This window comes from Homo sapiens, chromosome 19, assembly GCF_000001405.40.
Source record: "Homo sapiens chromosome 19, GRCh38.p14 Primary Assembly".
Taxonomy (NCBI): domain Eukaryota; kingdom Metazoa; phylum Chordata; class Mammalia; order Primates; family Hominidae; genus Homo; species Homo sapiens.
The window spans coordinates 50375045-50389570 of NC_000019.10; the positions used below are offsets into that span (position 1 = coordinate 50375045).

General features: G+C 56.3%; 2 protein-coding genes across 13 annotated transcripts in view, besides 6 other annotated features; both read left to right on the plus strand.

Moving 5' to 3' along the window:
• Positions 1322-2133: an enhancer, noted in NCBI's record as "NANOG-H3K27ac-H3K4me1 hESC enhancer chr19:50879623-50880434 (GRCh37/hg19 assembly coordinates)". NCBI's record gives its function as "activates a minimal SCP1, AML or CMV promoter by ChIP-STARR-seq in primed H9 embryonic stem cells {active_cell/tissue: H9 hESC(primed)}" and the evidence as "EXISTENCE:reporter gene assay evidence [ECO:0000049][PMID:30033119]".
• NR1H2 (nuclear receptor subfamily 1 group H member 2) lies at positions 1413-8344 on the plus strand. 2 transcript variants are annotated; one of them, NM_007121.7, is made up of 10 exons: positions 1413-1532; positions 1675-1782; positions 2543-2604; positions 2689-2826; positions 3105-3395; positions 3478-3752; positions 3958-4137; positions 4736-4835; positions 6922-7130; positions 7412-8344. In NM_007121.7, the coding sequence occupies exons 3-10, from the start codon at positions 2562-2564 to the stop codon at positions 7556-7558; spliced, it is 1383 nt and encodes a 460-aa protein (NP_009052.4). In that variant the 5' UTR covers positions 1413-1532; positions 1675-1782; positions 2543-2561; the 3' UTR covers positions 7559-8344. The 2 variants fall into 2 exon arrangements, with proteins under 2 accessions (NP_009052.4, NP_001243576.2); NM_001256647.3 differs by lacking the exon at positions 3105-3395.
• Positions 1954-2043: a silencer, noted in NCBI's record as "silent region_10958". NCBI's record gives its function as "represses an Ori minimal core promoter by ATAC-STARR-seq in GM12878 lymphoblastoid cells {active_cell/tissue: GM12878}" and the evidence as "EXISTENCE:reporter gene assay evidence [ECO:0000049][PMID:35858748]".
• Positions 8967-9066: a silencer, noted in NCBI's record as "silent region_10959". NCBI's record gives its function as "represses an Ori minimal core promoter by ATAC-STARR-seq in GM12878 lymphoblastoid cells {active_cell/tissue: GM12878}" and the evidence as "EXISTENCE:reporter gene assay evidence [ECO:0000049][PMID:35858748]".
• Positions 9077-9196: a silencer, noted in NCBI's record as "silent region_10960". NCBI's record gives its function as "represses an Ori minimal core promoter by ATAC-STARR-seq in GM12878 lymphoblastoid cells {active_cell/tissue: GM12878}" and the evidence as "EXISTENCE:reporter gene assay evidence [ECO:0000049][PMID:35858748]".
• Positions 9227-9316: a silencer, noted in NCBI's record as "silent region_10961". NCBI's record gives its function as "represses an Ori minimal core promoter by ATAC-STARR-seq in GM12878 lymphoblastoid cells {active_cell/tissue: GM12878}" and the evidence as "EXISTENCE:reporter gene assay evidence [ECO:0000049][PMID:35858748]".
• POLD1 (DNA polymerase delta 1, catalytic subunit) overlaps positions 9279-14526 on the plus strand; it is a 33696-nt gene continuing 28448 nt past the window's right edge. For 5 of the 11 annotated variants that reach the window (NR_046402.2, NM_001438213.1, NM_001438210.1 and 2 more), the window contains exon 1: positions 9303-9346. The gene's annotated coding sequence lies outside the window, so the exon portion shown is untranslated. Of the gene's footprint in view, positions 9347-10890; positions 11814-12615; positions 12761-14526 lie in introns of all 11 variants that reach the window. The other 6 variants (XM_047438947.1, XM_047438949.1, XR_935835.3 and 3 more) reach the window with 4 other exon arrangements.
• Positions 10036-10537: an enhancer, noted in NCBI's record as "H3K4me1 hESC enhancer chr19:50888337-50888838 (GRCh37/hg19 assembly coordinates)". NCBI's record gives its function as "activates a minimal SCP1, AML or CMV promoter by ChIP-STARR-seq in primed H9 embryonic stem cells {active_cell/tissue: H9 hESC(primed)}" and the evidence as "EXISTENCE:reporter gene assay evidence [ECO:0000049][PMID:30033119]".

Sequence of the window (14526 nt, forward strand, 5' to 3'; positions counted from 1 at the left end):
AACAGCCCAAGCCGCTGCTCTACCTGGAGTAGCCATTCTTTTATTCCTTTATTTTTATTGCATTTTATTTTTGAGACGGAGTTTCGCTCTTGTTACCCAGACTGGAGTGCAATGGCGCAATCTCGGCTCACCGCAACCTCGGCTCACCGCAACCTCCGCCTCCTGGGTTCAAGCGATTCTCCTGCCTCAGCCTCTCCCGAGTAGCTGGGATTACAGGCGCCCGCCACCATGCCTGGCTAATTTTGTATTTTTAGTAGAGACGGAGTTTCTCCATGTTGGTCAGGCTGATCTCAAACTCCCGACCTCAGGTGATCTGCCCACCTCGGCCTCCCAAAGTGCTGGGATTACAGGCGTGAGCCACCGCGCCCGGTCCGAGACTGAGCTTTTTTAATTCTTCCAATCACCAAGTTATTGAAACCATTTTTGCAAAATTTTAACAATGAGAAAATTCTGACATCTCAAATCTGGCCAGGCACAGCGGCTCACGCCTGTAATCCCAACACTCTGGAAGGCCGAGGTAGGTGGATTGCCTGAGGTCAGGAGTTCGATACCAGCCTGGCAAACATGGTGAAACCCCATCTCTACTAAAAATAGAAAAATTAGCCGGCCGTGGTGGTGGGCACCTGTAATCCCAGCTACAAGGGAGGCTGAGGCAGGAGAATCGCTTGAACCCAGGAGGCGGAAGTTGCAGTTAGCTGAGATCGCGGCACTGCACTCCAGCCTGGGCAACAGAGTGAGACTCCATCTCAAAAAAAAAAAAGTAAAAATAAGCCCGGTGCCGCAGCTCACGCCTGTAATCCCAGCACTTTGGGAGGCCGAGGCAGGCGGATCATTTGAAGTCAGGAGTTCGAGACCAGCCTCGCCAACATGGCGAAACCCTGTCTCTACTAAAAATACAAAAAAATGAGCCGGGCGTGGTGGCACATGCCTGTAATCCCAGTTACTTGGGAGGGTGAGGCAAGAGAATCTCTTGAACCCAGGACGCAGAGGCTGGAGTGAGCTGAGATCACACCACTGCACTCCAGTCTGGGGTGACAGAGTGAGACCTCTCCAAATAAATAAATAAAAATAAATAAAACTAACAAGCAGCACGACTCCAAAATCAGAAAACTTGTAACGACCAAAAAAGTGCAAACGTGCCTTAAATCAGTCATGTGCGACAAGCAGCTATAGCTAGGGTTTGGCCGCAGGCTCAGAGAAGCGCATGAATGAGCTAAAGCCACAAAGCGCGGGGCTGGAGGTTTGGCTCCCAAGAAGCGAGGAAATGGGTTCGGAACTCTTCTGCCAAGTCCCAGTAGATCTACCCGGTAAACTTCCGGTGAGTTTCCAACTTCCGTGCGGGGCAGCAGCTTCGGCTGGTCCTAAGCGGACCGGAAGTTCGTCAAGTTTCACGCTCCGCCCCTCTTCCGGACGTGACGCAAGGGCGGGGTTGCCGGAAGAAGTGGCGAAGTTACTTTTGAGGGTATTTGAGTAGCGGCGGTGTGTCAGGGGCTAAAGAGGAGGACGAAGAAAAGCAGAGCAAGGGAACCCAGGTAGGTGCACCCGAGAGTGGGGAGACGCAGGAGGAGCCCCGAACCCGGGGCTTCTCGGCGCTCCCCGCGTACTCCGCTCTGCCCCCTTCTCTCCTTCCATTTCCTCCCCTCGGTAATTCGCGCCTCCCGCGGCTGTTTCCAGGGCAACAGGAGTAGTTCACTCCGCGAGAGGCCGTCCACGAGACCCCCGCGCGCAGCCATGAGCCCCGCCCCCCGCTGTTGCTTGGAGAGGGGCGGGACCTGGAGAGAGGTGCGAGGGCGGAGCATGAATGGAGGAGGCGGGGCGGGGCATGATGGGAGGTGATGGGGCGGGACCTGCAGCGCGGTGCGGGGGCGGGGCATGAAGGGAGGAGGCGGGGCTGGGGGCGGGGCATGATGGGAGGAGATGTGGCGGGGCCTGGAGCGAGGTTGTGGGGGTGCAGTAGGAAGGGAGGAGGCGGGGCGGGGGCGGGGCATGATGGGAGGGGATGGGGACCTGGAGCGAGGTTGTGGGGGTGAGGCTTGGAGGGAGGGATGCATATGGGGCGGGGCAAGGTGTTGGGAGGCCCATGATGGGGGCTTTAGGGGCTGAACCTGGAAGGTTGAGGGCGGAGCATAGTAGGAGGAGGTGGGGTCAGAATGAGAAATAGGGATGCTTGGGGCAGAAGTGAGGTAGAGTCTTAAGAAGAGGAGGTGGGGGGAAACTACATGGCATGGAGGCCGTGAAGGCAGAGCATGATTAAAGGAGAATGGGCCCTACCTAGAAAAAGCAGGTGGATTGGACCTGAGGGGGCGGGGCCTACAGCAGGGGCGGGGCTTAAGACCAAGCTGAAGGCTGGCGTGGAACAGAAGGGGGCAGGTCTTGTTAGAAGGATGGGGAGGGTTTGTAGGCTGGCAGGAACCAGGGTTGTGGCTGAGAGTAGGGTCTTTGGAGAGATGGAAAAAAAAGGGAAAGCCCTGTCAGGACCTGTAACTGACCTAACCTAACCCTTCTTAGCCCCACAAGGCTCTCAATCCCCTGTATTCTACAGGCTGCTCCGTGACCCCACCATGTCCTCTCCTACCACGAGTTCCCTGGATACCCCCCTGCCTGGTGAGTGACTCTCTTCCCCACCCAGCCCTTATCACACACGAGCAGAAGCTCACTGTACCTCTCCCGGATTCCACCCTCTTCCAGGAAATGGCCCCCCTCAGCCTGGCGCCCCTTCTTCTTCACCCACTGTAAAGGAGGAGGGTCCGGAGCCGTGGCCCGGGGGTCCGGACCCTGATGTCCCAGGCACTGATGAGGCCAGCTCAGCCTGCAGCACAGACTGGGGTGAGACAGGGCCCTGGAGTTGATGTGGGGGCTTGGGGAGGGGTTTAGGAAGGGAGAAAGAAATAGAAATGGGAATGGGAGGCCCTGATCTTTGCTTTTTGTTCTTGCTTTCTCCTTAACATATACATCTTTCTAAATTGCAATTTCCCTGAATGTGAGCAGCAACTCCTCTCTCCCTCCATCCTCTGGCTCTTTGCCTGGGGATCTCCTGTGGGCCCATCTCTCTGGTTCCTGTTTCTCCTTGTGGCTTTCTCATGGCCTCTACCTACCCACCCCAGTCATCCCAGATCCCGAAGAGGAACCAGAGCGCAAGCGAAAGAAGGGCCCAGCCCCGAAGATGCTGGGCCACGAGCTTTGCCGTGTCTGTGGGGACAAGGCCTCCGGCTTCCACTACAACGTGCTCAGCTGCGAAGGCTGCAAGGGCTTCTTCCGGCGCAGTGTGGTCCGTGGTGGGGCCAGGCGCTATGCCTGCCGGGGTGGCGGAACCTGCCAGATGGACGCTTTCATGCGGCGCAAGTGCCAGCAGTGCCGGCTGCGCAAGTGCAAGGAGGCAGGGATGAGGGAGCAGTGTGAGTGCAGCGGGAGGGGGCGGTGCCGGCCTGGCCCCCCGCCTAGCCCTGGGGTTCTGCTGAGGCCTGCATCCCCCTACAGGCGTCCTTTCTGAAGAACAGATCCGGAAGAAGAAGATTCGGAAACAGCAGCAGGAGTCACAGTCACAGTCGCAGTCACCTGTGGGGCCGCAGGGCAGCAGCAGCTCAGCCTCTGGGCCTGGGGCTTCCCCTGGTGGATCTGAGGCAGGCAGCCAGGGCTCCGGGGAAGGCGAGGGTGTCCAGCTAACAGCGGCTCAAGAACTAATGATCCAGCAGTTGGTGGCGGCCCAACTGCAGTGCAACAAACGCTCCTTCTCCGACCAGCCCAAAGTCACGGTACTGCCCCCTCCACAACCTTGAGTGTGACGGTCCCAATGGGGTAGAGCCAGCTGGGCCATCACCCAGGGTGTGGGAGAATGAGGCTCCAGAGGGCAGGGGCTTTGGGAAGAGGATCCCCCAGGGTGCAGGCTTGGCCTCAAGGTGGCCACCCAGACTTAGGCTCACAAAGACCTGGGAGTGACCCTGGTCTCCTGTGTCCCAGCCCTGGCCCCTGGGCGCAGACCCCCAGTCCCGAGATGCCCGCCAGCAACGCTTTGCCCACTTCACGGAGCTGGCCATCATCTCAGTCCAGGAGATCGTGGACTTCGCTAAGCAAGTGCCTGGTTTCCTGCAGCTGGGCCGGGAGGACCAGATCGCCCTCCTGAAGGCATCCACTATCGAGGTAATGGTCCATCTGCCCACAAGGAACCCCAGAGATAGCTCCAGGACAGATGCTGGGAGCAGAGTTAAGGAAGACCAGTGCTTGCCGTTGTAGGATGACATTCCACGGCGAATAGAGTCTTCTATGAGCCAAGGAGAGAAAGGAAAAAGGGTCTGAGGCTGAGAAAATTGAGGATCAGGCTAGAGGCGCTATTGCAGAGAAAAGTTGCCAAAAAGGCTTTTCAGAGGAGTTAGCATTTGAATCAAAGTAGGGATAACATATAAGTATTGAGCACGTGCTGTATGCCAGGCTCTATTCCAAGTGTTGGCATATGGGGCAAAGAACAAAGCAGATCAAACCCCGTGCCCCAAACCTTGTGCTCACCTGGGGAAAGAGTATCCTAAGGAGATGGGGATGCAGCATGTGCGGAAGCCTGAAGTGGAGAAAGAGCTCGGGCTGTCTCACGTGATGGCTGCACGCTGGTGTGGCTGAGAGAACAGGGGGGAAGGGGACAAGGGATAATCCTGGTGAGATTAGACCCCCATTTGGGCCAGGAGGGGAGGGACTAGCAGCTGAAGGGTCACAGGGCTCAAGCTCCCCCTCCCGCTGCCGCCCTTAGATCATGCTGCTAGAGACAGCCAGGCGCTACAACCACGAGACAGAGTGTATCACCTTCTTGAAGGACTTCACCTACAGCAAGGACGACTTCCACCGTGCAGGTAGGGCCCAGGGGAGGCTTCGGGGAGGCTTGGCGCCCCTGCTGGCTGGAAGACCTGGGGCCAACTCATCCCTGTTGGAGTCTCTGTTTCTTTATCTCCAAAGTTGGGGTGAGGGTTGAGCCAAGGTGAGAGTGAGGTAAGAGTGCATGTGCCACGTGTGGTGGTGCACGCCAATAGTCCCAGCCACTCGAGGCTGAGGAGGGCAGATTGCTTGAGGCTATAGTGAGCCGTGATTGTGCGACGGCATTCCAGCCTGGTGACAGAGAAGACCGTGTCTCTATTTTTTAAAAAAAGCATGTATTGAGTGCCGACTCTGTACATTGGGTTGCAGTGGAAGTTGAGATGGGAGGAGCCCTGTTACCACATCAGGCATCTTGGTGGGCATTAGGAAAAGCATTCCCCGCCCCCGCCAAAACGTGGTCTCACCCAAGGGAGGCGGGCTGGAGCTCGGTCCATTGTGAAGCGGGCAGCCTTCTTTACTGTCTAGGGGAGCACTGCTTCCTGCCCTCTGAGAGCGCTAACCTGCGTGGGTGGGCTTCTGGAAGAAGGCCTGGGCAGTGAGAGGCACTGCCTAGGAAAAGGGTGGGAGGAGCATTGCTAGTGCTGCAGAGCATGCACCAGGGCCTCGCTCCCTCATTGTCCCACAATCTCTGGGGGACCTCTCTGTATTTCCCGACATCTGTCCAAACCCCACCCTCTCCCCTTCCTCTTACTCCGGCCCTTTCACCACCCGAGACGGTCCCAGTAACCCTTTTAGTATGAGCTTAGCAGGGCAGGGCTGCAGGGAAGCGTTTCTGGCAGAGGAGATTGGCGATTGCAGAGGCCCTGAGGTTGGGGAGAGCTGGTGGTTTGGAGGAACTACAGGGAGGCCCAGGCAGCTGGAGCACAAGGAGATGGGGTGGAGAGGAGGTCGGGAATCCCACCCTACCCCTTCCCAGCCGCTCCTCTGCCACCACCCTGGAACACTGCCAGGGTCCCCTTGAGGGGCCGCCTGCCTCCACCCCTGCCTGATGGGGCTGCTCACAGCACAGGCAGAAGGGTCCTGTCAGCACTTAAGGCTGCCCACTTCCCTCCTCCGCTCAGAACCCTCCGCGGCTCCCGTCTCACTGGGAGAAGAGCTAGAGTCCTCTCTGTGGCCCACAAAGCCCTTTAGGACCTGGCCTCGCTCACTCTCTGCCCTCAGCTCTCACCCTCTCCCCCTGTTCCAGCCACTCTGGCCTCTTACTGGCACCCATCCAGCATGCTGCAGCCAAGGGCCTGTGTACTTGGAGTTTCCTCTGCCCAGAACTAGGGGGACCAACTGGTCCTAGTTTGCCCAGGACCTTCCCAGTTTTAACACTGAAAGTCTCATGGCCTGGGTAGCCCCCGTCCCAAGTCATGGGAACAGCAGACGTTGGTCACCCTCACAATCCCTCATCTCCTTCGGATTGGTCACTGCTCCAGCGTCACCCAGAGCGCAGCCTTCCCTGCCCGCCTTGTGTAAAATAGAACCATGGCTCAGCAGGGCCCTTCACACTTCTCTGCACTGCCTGGTTCCATTGAACTCACAGCCCTCTGACAGGCTGGGCCTCTTCCTAATGTGTTTGTCTATGACCGGTCCCCTAGGCTCTCAAATGTAAGTGCTGGAGCCTGGCACGTGGCAGGTACTCAGTGACATTTGATGACTGAATGAACAAGTCAGTTTTGGGAATGAGTTTGGGCTTTACCTTGAGCAGTGGAAGCCAGCGCTGGGACCAGCACGATGTGACCTAGGTTTTAAAAGCTTCCCTTTGCCTTTGTGAAGGGGACAAGAATAGGGACTCGGGAAGCTGCAGCCACCGCCCAGGTGGGAAGGGAGGGTGGTGATAGGATAGTAGAAAATACTGAAGAAACATGCACCCTCATTCATTCCTTCACTGGGCAGCATGTGTGGCACACCTACTACATGCCAGCACTCATGGGCACGGGGCACAGGTGGACAGAAATGACAAGAACGCTGTAATTACTGCTGTGTTCCCAGCCCCAGAGACTGTGGGCAGCGCCAGGGTCCAGGATGTGGGGCACGGTTTCGGGCTGAGGGAGTCACGGGCTGCCTCCCGCCCCGCAGGCCTGCAGGTGGAGTTCATCAACCCCATCTTCGAGTTCTCGCGGGCCATGCGGCGGCTGGGCCTGGACGACGCTGAGTACGCCCTGCTCATCGCCATCAACATCTTCTCGGCCGACCGGCCCAACGTGCAGGAGCCGGGCCGCGTGGAGGCGTTGCAGCAGCCCTACGTGGAGGCGCTGCTGTCCTACACGCGCATCAAGAGGCCGCAGGTAGGGCCCCGCAGAGCCTCTGCGCAGAGCCAACTACGTCCCGCGGCCCACGTGGTCCGTTCAGGCTGGGTTCTGCCAGCCACACTGCCCTCCCCTCCGCAGAGTCTTTCCTCAGGCCCCACCCTGCTCGACTGGGAGCCAGGTCTAGTCCAAGCACAGAGGCGGGCCCCACGCTGGCTCCCACGCCTGGTCGGGGAGGGGCCCTCCTTTCTGTTGGGGTGGGCCTCCCAAAGCCTGGCAGGGCAGGGGCTCAGCCAGCGCCCACCTGCCTCCTCCCTCAGGACCAGCTGCGCTTCCCGCGCATGCTCATGAAGCTGGTGAGCCTGCGCACGCTGAGCTCTGTGCACTCGGAGCAGGTCTTCGCCTTGCGGCTCCAGGACAAGAAGCTGCCGCCTCTGCTGTCGGAGATCTGGGACGTCCACGAGTGAGGGGCTGGCCACCCAGCCCCACAGCCTTGCCTGACCACCCTCCAGCAGATAGACGCCGGCACCCCTTCCTCTTCCTAGGGTGGAAGGGGCCCTGGGCCGAGCCTGTAGACCTATCGGCTCTCATCCCTTGGGATAAGCCCCAGTCCAGGTCCAGGAGGCTCCCTCCCTGCCCAGCGAGTCTTCCAGAAGGGGTGAAAGGGTTGCAGGTCCCGACCACTGACCCTTCCCGGCTGCCCTCCCTCCCCAGCTTACACCTCAAGCCCAGCACGCAGTGCACCTTGAACAGAGGGAGGGGAGGACCCATGGCTCTCCCCCCTAGCCCGGGAGACCAGGGCCTTCCTCTTCCTCTGCTTTTATTTAATAAAAACTAAAAACAGAAACAGGAAAATAAAATATGAATACAATCCAGCCCGGAGCTGGAGTGCAAGATGGAGAGGGCGCGGGCTTCTAGGGACCTCAGTGACACTGGGTGCCCGAACCTGATTGAGCAGGTGGGACTGGGTGTCCCCAGGCTGTTGGGAAAAGGGTGGCACATAGGGTCCCAGTGTTGGGTGGTGTGTCGCCTGCTGTGAAAGTTCAGGACAGAGGCCTCAGCCTCAGGGTCACCTCCCTGGACAAGGTGAATCAGAACTCACCCTTGAAGGATAAACAGGATTTAAGTGAATGAGGGGACCTGGACTTCTGTCCGAACAACAAGTGTTTGCTGAGGCCTCCTGTGGGCCAGGCACTGGGTTGGCCATTCTAGAGATGGAGACATTCACCCAATAAATGTTTCCAGAGCATTAACTACAGTTAGGCACAATTCTAGGCACTGGAAACATCTGTGAACAAGATAACCATCCTCCTACCAAGACTCGGGGGATAGGGACTTTAATGAGCGTGGCACTGTGGTGGGGCTAGAGGAAATCAGGGAAGGTATCACAACAGAGGCAATCGCTGGGACCTAAAACAAGAGCCTGGGGGCTGGGCCTCCAAGTTGAGGGAACAGCACGTGCAAAGTTTGAAAGGAGAGACGCCAGGAGTTCGGAGCGAAGCGACGAAGTTCCTCCAATCCTTCCTGCCCCTGTGCCAGCCCTGAAGGAGCTGAATGAGCAATTCCAATCGAGGGCGAAAGGGGGGTTGGATGGAGGGATGCAACTTAAAGGTGTATTTATTTGGGGCGGGGAACAGCGGAAGTGAGAGTAGTTACCAATGATCACCTTATCCTAAGAGTAGTGTACCGGGCGCCCCACAAGTGTCCCTATCATGCGTTGTTGAGTCTAATTTACGTATAGGGAAACTGAAGCTAGGATGAAGGAGAACAGATCAAGCCAGGACTCTACCGCTTATCGGCCAGCCTCTGCGGGGATCTTGGGCGTCAGGTCACCAGCTGGCTGCTGGGCAGCGACGGGGCAGCGCTCCCTACACGGCCCCGGGCGAGAGGCGGGCGGGGGGACGCGGAGGATGCGCGCGCAACACCCGAGGGTGGGAGGAGAGAGAACAGAACCGCGGCGCGCCCAGACCGCACGAGGTCGTGAAGGTAGCCGCGCGGAGGGGCGTGGCTTCGGGCAGACAGGTCATGGGGAGGCGGAGTTAAGGGAATTTTTCAGCAAGGGGGCGAGGCCACTTCGGAAGCTGAGAGAGGGGGCGGGGCCTGCCCTGCAGTCGAACAAGCGGGGCGTGGCCTTGCCCGCACTTGGGCAGGCGGGGGCGTGGCCCGTCTCTGAGCGCCGCGGCTCTGGGCTTGCGCGCGCGGGAGTCAGGGGTCACGGCGGCGTAGGCTGTGGCGGGAAACGCTGTTTGAAGCGGGTGAGTAGAGGGGAAAAAGGGAGTTCGGGGCAGTGGGCCTGGTAGGGAACGGGGCTTGAGCAGCCAGGCACATAGATCTGAGAGACGGTTGCGAGGGCACCCTTTGGCCCGGGGGCGCGCAGGAGAGGGCAGGGGCCAGGGGTTTCCTGGGCGAGGGCGCGGGGACGAGCAGGAAAAGGCCGGGGTGGGGGTGGAATTCCTCGGCGGGCAGGGGGCGCATGCGCCGGGCACCGTGGGGCGGGACGTGGCCCGGGAGGAGCTGGGGGGACTGGGTGGTGCACGTGCGGGCTTGGTGTCATCCTGGATTCGCTGGGTGTTTGAGTACTCTGTGCCAGGCACTTTTCTGGAAGCAGGAACAAGTCAGAGAAGTCCCTGTCTCGGGAAGACAGACGGTAGACAAGTGATGAGTTTTAATAGATCAGTAAAGCAGTGCTCTGGGGCTGTGAGATGCTCTCAGAAGGAAACTAACGCAGGGTAACGTGATAATGAGCGAAGAGCCTGTTGCTTTAGCTGGAGTGGTCCAGAATCGACCGCTCTGGGACCCTCAAGTGCAAAGCCCTGAGGTGGAAGGAGCTTGGCGTATTTGTAGCAGGAGCCGAGGGGACGAGAGAAACACAGATGAGGTCGGAGTCATGATGGGGAACTAGATCCTATAGGGCCTTGTAAAACTTGGTATGGAATTTCTCCTTTATTCTAGGTTCAGCGGGGAGCCGTGGGAGGGTTTGAGCGTGGAAACAACACGATTCGCCCCATGTTTTGAAAAACTCACCACTGAGTGGAAATTGGATTGTAGCAGGAATAAGAATGGAAGGAGGGAGATCTGTTAGGAGGGAGAGCGTCCTGCAGGCAGAGAATCAGGCTCCGGTTACCTTTGCGGGCGGAGACAGGGGGACTGGCTGATGGACTGGGCGTAGGAGCAAGGGGAAGAGTCCAGGATGACTCCTGGGTTTGTGGTTTGAGCAGCAGGCTGGATGGGGAAGGCTAAGGGAGAAGCAGGTTGGGGTTGCCGCTCTGAAGGCAAAGATTAGTGGGGGAGTGAGTGGGCAGGGTTTAGAGCGGAGCCAGGAGTGGGCAGGGCGATGTCAGTGCCTCGCCTCAGCCCTTCCACTGAAGGAACTTGTTGCCACTGTCTTCTCTTTTTTTTTTTTTTTTTTTTGAGACAGAGTCTTGCTCTGTCACCCAGGCTGGAATGCAGTGGTGCAAACTCAGCTCATTGCAACCTCCGCCTCCCGAGTTCAGGCGAGTCTCGTGCCTCAGCCTCCTGAGTAGCTGGGATTACGGCACCCACTGCCATGCCCAGCTCATTTTTTGTATTTTTAGTAGAGATGGGGTTTCGCCGTGTTGGCCAGGCTGGTCTCGAACTCCTGACCTCAGGTGATCCACTTGCCTCGGCCTCCCAAAGTGCTGGGATTACAGGCGTGAGCCACCACGCACGGCCGCTTCTCCTCCTTCCTGCACTTCCCCCCCACAGGTCTCTCTTCCCCCTAGAGAGGTTCCTTCCCTCCCCCTGAAATGCTCTTCCCTCTCTTATGTGTTTCTGACAGCTGCTGTTTGGACAGGCCCTCTGCTGAGCACTGGGGAGCCAATGATCATTCAGTTTGGTTGGGGAAGGACAGGAGATTTCAGTCCAGAGTGCGCTGAGCTATGGCGGAGCAGTGATAGTCTTTGGGAGCCAAGAGAAGAACCTGTGCGCTCAGGGAAGACTCACCAGAGTGGTTGATATTCACAGGGAGTTTCAACTCACATGTCTTTTTTTTTTTGGTTTTTGAGACAGGGTCTTGCTCTGTCGCCCAGGCTGGAGTGCAGTGGCGCGATCTCGGCTCACTAACCTCCACCTCCCGGGTTCAAGCGATTCTCATGCCTCAGGCTTCCGAGTAGCTGGGATTACAGGTGTGTGCCACCACGCCCAGCTAATTTTTGTATTTTTAGTAGAGACAGGGTTTTGTCATGTTGCCCAGACTGGTCTCGAATCCCTGACCTCAAGTAATCCTCCCACCTCGGCCTCCCAAAGTGCTGGGATTACAGGTGTGAGCCACCACACCCGGCCTAAACTCATGTCTTGAAGTAACCGGACACTGTGCAGAGTGATGCTGGAGACCCCAACTTGGGCAAGATGCTGACTCCTTTTCTCAAGGAGCTCACAGGCTGAAAGGATCCCAGCTCTGCATTGTGCAATAACGAAAGTGGCACAAGGCGTTGTGGGAACCCTGAAGGGCAGCTGGTCAGCTTGGAGGAGCTAAGCCTGAGCTGAGTCTCTGGATGCAGTGGAGTTTCATGCAGCGAACACTGCCTAAGGCCTCCTGGGGGCCCACCCTGTGCTGGGTGATGCTAAGGTCCCAGAGGAGAGTCAGTCCTTGCTCTGCCATCCAGAGGTCCCTGGCTGGTAAGGGAGGAAGACACACACCCAGGCAGTCCAGAGACAGCAGTCACAGAGGCCTAGGGGAAGGACAAGGCCGAAAGCATGCAGGTGAGCCTGGGCAACATAGCAAGACCCTGTCTCTACAAAAAATACAAAAGCTAGGCCGGGCGCGGTGGCTAAGGCCTGTAATCCCAGCACTTTGGGAGGCCGAGGCGGGCAGATCATGAGGTCAGGAGACCAAGACCATCCTGGCTAACACGGTGAAACCCCGTCTCTACTAAAAATACAAAAAATTAGCCGGGCGTGGTGGTGGGCGCCTGTAATCCCAGCACTTTGGGAGGCCGAGGTGGACGGATCACTTGAGGTGAGGAGTTTGAGACCAGTCTGGCAGACATGGTGAAACTCTACTAAAAATACACAACTAGCTGGACATGGTGGGCGCCTGTAATCCCAGCTACCTGCGAGGCTGAGGCAGGAGAATCACTTGAGTCCAGGAGGCGGAGGTTGCAGTGAGCAAGATCCTTTCCCAAAAAAATATATAAATAAAAATAAAGCTGTGAGATTGGGCAAGATTGGATGAGGTCATTGAGGAAATGAGTGTCTCACTCATCGAGAAAACTGGTGTCTGGCCTGCAGCGAGCACGTGGTGTCATTTTGTTGCTGAATCTCTGTTAAGTGCTTGCTACCGAAGGGTCGTGAGAGGGGCAGAGGACAGTGTTTGCCAAGCTCTCATCCTGTGCCAGGGCCAATGAGAGGGGACACACAGGGGCCTTTCCTTCCTAATGCTGCTGTGCCTCCACTAACAAGAGCCCAGGTTTTGCCCCTGGTGACACCGTCCCTCCCACCGCACCCCCGCAGCCACAGCCAACTGACCAAGGGCAGCCAGTCAGCTCCTTCCTTCCTCCTCCAGCTTCAGCACTGACTCTGGGCTCCCACAAGCCCCTGCGCTTCCTCTGTCCCACCCGGGTCTCTCCTCGCAGATCATCACTCCCTGTCCCTCTCTGGCTACTTGCACAACCCGAAGCCAGAGCCGCTAACGACGCTTGCTTCTTCCTGTAAGTCACACATGTACGCGGTTGTCACCCAAAGAGCACAAACGCAGTCAAAGTCTTCCTCACACAAAACCCCCTGCACACGCTCACGGCTGCACCACTCACAAAAGGTGGAAGCAACCCTAATGTCCATCCACTGATGAAGGGATACGTCAGACGTGTTCTAGCCATACAGCGGAAAAGTACTCAGCAAAAAAGGGACACAGCACTGACGAAAGGCCGCCACACACATGAGCGATGAACACATTCAGAGAAAGCAGCCAGACACAAGAGGCTGCATATTCCAAGATCCCATTTATAGGAAATGCCCAGAATAGGCAGATCCATGGAGACAGAAAGTTAGATGAGTGGCTGCCAGGGGTGGGGGCAGATGGGCTGAATGCAGGGAGAGAGCTAAAGGATTTAGGCTTTTTGGGGTGATGAGAGAGTTCTAAAATTGACTGTGGTGATGGTTGCCTAACTCTGAACATACTAAATACCATTGAACTATATATACTTTAAATGGGTGAATTGTATAGTATGTGAATTATAGCTCAATAAAGCAGTTAGCAAATGAAGTCTTCTACCCTGTCCCCCAGGAAACCAGTTTCTTAGCTCTCCTTATAGAATGATGCATTAAAAGCAAATAGATTTATACATATGCCCTGCATTACAATAAAAAAGACGTCTACATACTCCCTGCATTACAATAAAAAAGACGTCTACATACTCCCTGCATTAAAAGCAAAAAGATTTCTACATACTCTTCTGCCCACCTTGTAAATTTGTTACTATTTTCATTTTATATATTTCCCCCTTAATATTTTGAAAAGTTTCAAACCTGCAGAGAAGGTACAAATTGAGTACAGTGAACAGCCATGGCCCTTTGCCTAGATTCACTGGCTGTTGGCATGACACCTCATTTGCTTTATGCTTTATCCAAGCACATGCATATACCTGTACCTTTTGTCCTTTTTTTGGCTGAACTATTTGAAAGTTGTGGTCATCATGATACTTCACCTCTGAAAACTCCAGCAGTTAACTCTTTTTTTTTTTTTTTTTTTTTTTTTGAGACGGAGTCTTGCTCTGTCACCCAGGCTGGAGTACAGTGGTGCGACCTTGGCTCACTGCAACCTCTGCCTCCCAGGTTCAAGCGATTCTCCTATTGCAGCTTCCTGAGTAGCTGGGACTATAGGCGCGCACCACCACATCTGGCTAATTTTTGTATTTTTAGTAAAGATGGGGTTTCACCATCTTTGCCAGGCTGCTCTTGAACTCCTGACCTTATGATCTACGTGCCTCTGCCTCCCAGAGTGCTGGGATTACAGGCATGAGCCACCGCACCTGGCCTCTTTTTTTTTTTTTGGTACAGTATTTTACTCTGTCATGCAGGTTGTAGTGCAGTGGGGTGGTCACAGCTCACTGCAGCCTCGACCTCCCCAGGCTCAGCTGATCCTCAGCCTCTCGAGTAGCTGGGACTAAAGGTGTGTGCCACCACACCCTGCTAATTTTTATATTGTTTATAGAGACAGGGTGTCACCATGTTGCCTAGGCTGATCTCAAACTCCTGGGTTCAAGCAATCCCCCTGCCTCGGCCTCCAAATGTCCTGGGATTACAGCCGTGAGCCACCGTACCTGGCCTCCAGCAGTCAGCTCTTAAGAACAGGGATGTCCGCCTGCAGAACTACAGTGTCATTGTCATCATCATGCAGTTTAACATGAGACAGTGACGTTATTGAATAGACGATTCTTATTTAGATCTGCCACGTGTCCCTGTAATATTCTTCAAG